Below are 5,113 nucleotides of genomic sequence, written 5' to 3'. Positions count from 1 at the left end.
CTCGCTGTTTTTGCTTCCTATGGAAATAAAAAATAAGTGACTTCTCATTCTTGGAAAATTTAAATTGATATTGCAGGGAAAGCTTGACATCAGTGAGTCCCATATGAACTTTCCCCTTCTGAAAAGATCAAGCGCCAGAGCTTCTTAAAAAATTATTAGTATTCTTTTTGGTTGACAAATTATAATTGTATACATTTATGAAGTACAATGTGATGTTTTGATATATGTATACAAAGTGGAATGAGTAAATCAAGCCAATTAACATATTAATCACCTTGTCACCTCACTTACCTATCTTTTTTTAGGGTGAAACATTTGAAACTGAATATCTTAGTGATTTTGAAATAAACCATACATTATTATTGACTACAATTACCCTATTGTGCAATAGATTTCAAAATCTATTCCTCTTGTCTATCTGAAACTTTTTACACTTTGATCAACAACTCTCCATTCCCTTTCTCTTCATAACCAAAACTCCCAGCCGCTGGTAAGTTGTGGTCCTTCTACTTGCTACTTCTATGATTTCAAATTATTTAGATTCCATGTATAAATGATACCAGTTGTCTTTCTGTGTCTGGCTTATTTCACTTAGCATTATGTACCTCAGATTAATTTGTATTGTTGAAAATGACAGAAATTCCCCCTTTTATGGTTGAGCAGTATTCCATTGTGTGTGTATACCACATTTTTTTATACATTCAGAAACTGATGGACATTTAGGTTGATTGCATATCTTAGTTATTGTGAATAATGCTGCAATGAATATGAAGGGCTAACCCTTTGACATGTTGATTTTAGTTTCTTTGGATATATATTCAGAAGTATAAGATTACTGGATCATATGGTAGTTACATTTTTAGTTTTTAAAAGCATCTTCTTATCATTTTCCATAAGGGCTGAACTAACTTACATTTGCACTAACAATGTACAGAAGCTCCCTTTTCTCGGAATCCTTGACAACACTTTTTTTCTAGCTTTTTGATGAAGGCCATTCTAACAGGTGTGAGGTAATACCTTATTGTAGTTTTTATTCGTGTTTAGCTAATGATTAGTGATGCTGAGCATTTTTTAAATATACCTATTGGCCATTGATGTGGTTTGGCTGTGTCCCCACCCAAATCTTATCTTGAATTCCCACTGTTGTGGGAGGGACCCAGTGGGAGGTAATTGAATCATAGGGGTAGGTCTTTCCTTTGCTGTTCTTGTGATAGTGAGTAAGTCTCATGAGAGCTGCTGGTTTTATAAGGGGGAATTACCCTGCCAAGCACTCTTTTTGCCTGCTGCTATCCATATAAGATGTGGCTTGCTTCTCTTTGCCTTTTGCCATGATTGTGAGGCCTCCCTAGCCACGTGGAATGGTGAGTCCATTAAACCTCTTTTTCTTCTCAATCTCAGGTATGTCTTTATCAGCAGCATAAAAACAAACTAAAATAGTAAATTGTTACCAGTAGAGTGAGGTGCTGCTGTAAAGATACCCAAAAATGTGAAAGTGACTTTGGAACTGGGTAAAAGGCAGAGGTTGGAATAGTTTGGAGGGCTCAGAAGAAGACAGGAAAATGTGGGACAGTTTGGAACTTCCTAGAGAATTGTTGAATGGCTTTGCCCAAAATGCTTATAGCGATATGGACAATAAAGTCTAGGCTGAGGTGGTCTCAGGTGGAGATGAGGAACTTATTGGGAACTGGAGCAAAGGTGACTCTTGTTATTTTTTAGCAAAGAGACTGGCAGCATTTTGCCCCTGCCCTAGAGATTTGTGGAATTTTGAACTTGAGAGAGATGATTTAGGGTATCTGGTGGAAGAAATTTCTAAGCAGCAAAGCATTCAATTGTTAAACGCATTCATTTTTATATGGGAAGCAGAGCACAAAAGTTCAGAAAATTTGCAGTCTGATAATGTGATTAAAAAGAAAATCCCATTTTCTGAGGAAAATTCAAGCCTGCTGCAGAAATTTGCATAAGTAACGAGGAGCTGAATGTTAATCCCTAAGACAATGGGAAAATGTCTCCAGTGCAGGTCAGAGATTTTCATGGCAGTCCCTCTCATCACAAGCCTGGAGGCCTAGAAGAGAAAAATGGTTTTATGGGCTGGGCCAAGGGTCCCCGTGCTATGTGCAGCCTAGCGACTTGGTGCCCTGTGTCCTACCCACTCCAGTCATGGCTGAAAGGGGCCAACCTAGAGCTCAGTCCATGGTTTCAAAGGGTGCAAACCCCAAGCCTTGGTAGCTTCCATATGGTATTGAGCCTGCAAGTGCACAGAAGTCAAGAACTGGGGTTTGGGAACCTCCGCCTAGATTTCACAGGGCATATGAAAATGCCTGATGTCCAGGAGGAAGTTTGCTGCATGACTGGGGCCCTCATGGAGAACCTCTGCTAGGGCAGTACAGAAGAAAAATGTGGGGTCAGAGCCCCAACACAGGGTCCCTATTAGAATACTGCCTAGTGGAGCTGTGAGAAGAGGGTTGTCATCCTCCAGACCCCAGAATGGTAGATCCACCGCCTCCGACAGCTTGCATCATGCACCTAGAAAAGCCAGGCTGTACCCTGCAAAGCCACAGTGGCAGAGCTTCCCAAGACCATGGGAACCCACCTCTTGCATGAGTGTGACCTGGATATGAGACATGGAGTCAAATGAGGTCATTTTGGATCTTTGAGATTTGACTGCCCTGCTGGATTTTGGACTTGTATGGCCTTGTAGCCCCTTTGTTTTGGCCAGTTTCTCCCATTCAGAATGGCTGTATTTACCCAATGCCTGTACCCCACCCCCCTGCCCACTGTATTTAGGAAGTAACTAACTTGCTTTTAATTTTACAAGCTTATAGGCGGAAGGGACTTGCCTTGTCTCAGATGAGACATTGGACTGTGGTCTTTTGAGTTAATGCTGAAATGAGTTAAGACTTTCAGGGACTGTTGGGAAGACATCATTGGTTTTGAAGTGTGAGGACATGAGATTTGGATGGGGCCAGGGGCAGAATGATATAGTTTGGTTATATCCCCACCCAAATCGCATGTTGAATTCCCACTGTTGTGGGAGGGACCTGGTAGGAGGTAATTGAATCGTGGGGGCAGGTCTTTTCTGTAATGTTCTCATGAAAGTGAATAAGTCTCATGAGATCTGACAGTTTTATAAGGAAAAGTTCCCCTGCACAAGTGCTCTCTTTGGCTGCAGTCATCCATGTAAGATGTGACTTGCTCCTCATTGCCTTCTGCCATGATTGTGAGGCCTCCCTAGCCATGCAGAACTGTAAGTCCATTAAACCTCTTTTTCTTCTCAGTCTTGGGTATGTCTTTATTAGCAGCATGAAAATGGACTAATACAGCCATTAAACACCAGAGTTTCTATGTCTGGTTTCTTTCCCTCTGACTACCCCAATTCACTCCACCTCCTCTTCCAGGAAGTACAGAAATTGCAAACAATAGAGATGTTCATTGGTCAAAGCTCTTACCTTAAAAAGTATTTGCTTTTTTGCCCTACTATTTTGGACATACTGAAATATACCTGATATGGTTTGGAGATTTGTTTAATCCAAATCTCATGTTGAAATGTGATCCCCATTGTTGAAGGAGGGGCCTAGTGGAAAGTGTTTTGGTCATGGGGGTGAATTCCCTTCTGAATGGCTTGGTGCCTTTACTGAGGTAATGAGTGGGTTCTTACTCTATTACTTCACACAGTGCTGGTGGTTGAAAAAAGCCTGGAACCTCCCCAACCCTTTCTTGCTCCCTTTCTTGCCATATGAGATGCCAGCTCTCCTTTTGCCTTCCATTATAATTGGAAGCTTCCTGAGGCCTCACGAGAAGTCAAGCAGATGCTGGTGCCATGCTTGAACAGCCTACAGAACCATGAGCCAAATAAACCTCTTTTCTTTTTAAACTGCCCAGCTTCTGGTATTACTTCATGGCAACTCAAAACCTCAAAATGCAATACCTAAACACAGAACACTTCTAAATCACAGGACTGTATAGTTTGAAATAATTACAAATTTCTGGTCTCCAGCCTTGTTTAGGTTCTAATTATTTATTTCTTCATTCTCAACAGCTATAATTAACCATAGTGTCATCTAGTATGGCTAATCTCCTGGTTTCCCCAAGACTGAGGGTGTTCCCAGAGCATGGACTTTCAGTGCTAAAGCCAAGTAAGTCCCTGGCAAGCTGGAATGAGGTAGTTACCCTAGACTCCTGGGACCTTCTCTTTGACTGAATTTTCCTTACTTCTGATAAGAGGTATAATTTCTTACTTATAGAGAAAATAGAGGCTATCAGGTAGAAAATTTCTCAATATCCTTTCCTACCCATTAAAAAATATCTGGCTAGGGACCTGCTTTTATTAGTTATCTCCACTTTTCATGTCTTATTCACATCTAACCACTCATCATATCTAATAATTCTTTTCCATCAGTGTAGTGTTAAAGAAAAATTTGCCAAGTTCAATCATGCACTTAGGAAACTGTCCCTACATGACTCTAAACTTGGTAGAACTTTTTTTCTATGTCCACATTTTTTTTTAACTTACAACCAAGCATGACCAAATCCAAGGGAGGGGGATTATTATGTTCTCTTTTTAATTTTTTTCTATGTGAAATAAGCTCCCCTTTCTATCCTTATATGTAGTGCTTTTATTTTCAGCCTATACACTTCTTGAGTGAGCCTGCTCTCCTTTGTCTAGCAGGCAGATAGACCCTGCTTTGTTTTGTGTTTCAAATATCTGGCAGCCTTTGTTGTTACTTTAACAATATAAACATGGACAAGTATTGCACATCTTAAACACAAAGCACACTGTTTCTACACTCAACCATCTCTTATCCTGTCTCTATCCTTCCTTACTAGTTATTTAGTTTGAGAAAGAAGTGTGCCTTTTCGCTTCACTTTCTCCATGAACTGCACTTTCATTGCCATTTCAATGCACTTCAACCAATCTGCTCTTATAAAATCAACAATGACCATCTTGCTGCTAAAAATTATAGAAAATGCTTACCTCCTATCTGTGACTTACAAATGAGTTTATATTTAAAATCATATAAAAGATTATAAAAAAATCATAGAAAAATACAAAGATTGGTTTTTTGAAAGAATAAATAAAACAGATACATTGCTAACAAGGGTAATAAGAAAAAAA

At 39.7% G+C, this 5,113-nt stretch overlaps 1 annotated feature.

Annotated features, from left to right (window-relative positions):
* Window positions 770–1,969: an enhancer, noted in NCBI's record as "MED14-independent group 3 enhancer chr8:90365894-90367093 (GRCh37/hg19 assembly coordinates)". NCBI's record gives its function as "activates an origin of replication core promoter dependent on BRD2, BRD4, P300/CBP and CDK7 cofactors, and independent of MED14, by STARR-seq in HCT116 cells {active_cell/tissue: HCT116}" and the evidence as "EXISTENCE:reporter gene assay evidence [ECO:0000049][PMID:35650434]".

The sequence above is a fragment of the Homo sapiens genome, chromosome 8, assembly GCF_000001405.40.
Source record: "Homo sapiens chromosome 8, GRCh38.p14 Primary Assembly".
NCBI classification, from domain to species: domain Eukaryota; kingdom Metazoa; phylum Chordata; class Mammalia; order Primates; family Hominidae; genus Homo; species Homo sapiens.
The sequence above is the reverse complement of the archived record's forward strand: the minus strand, read 5'-3'. Positions and strand labels throughout refer to the sequence as shown.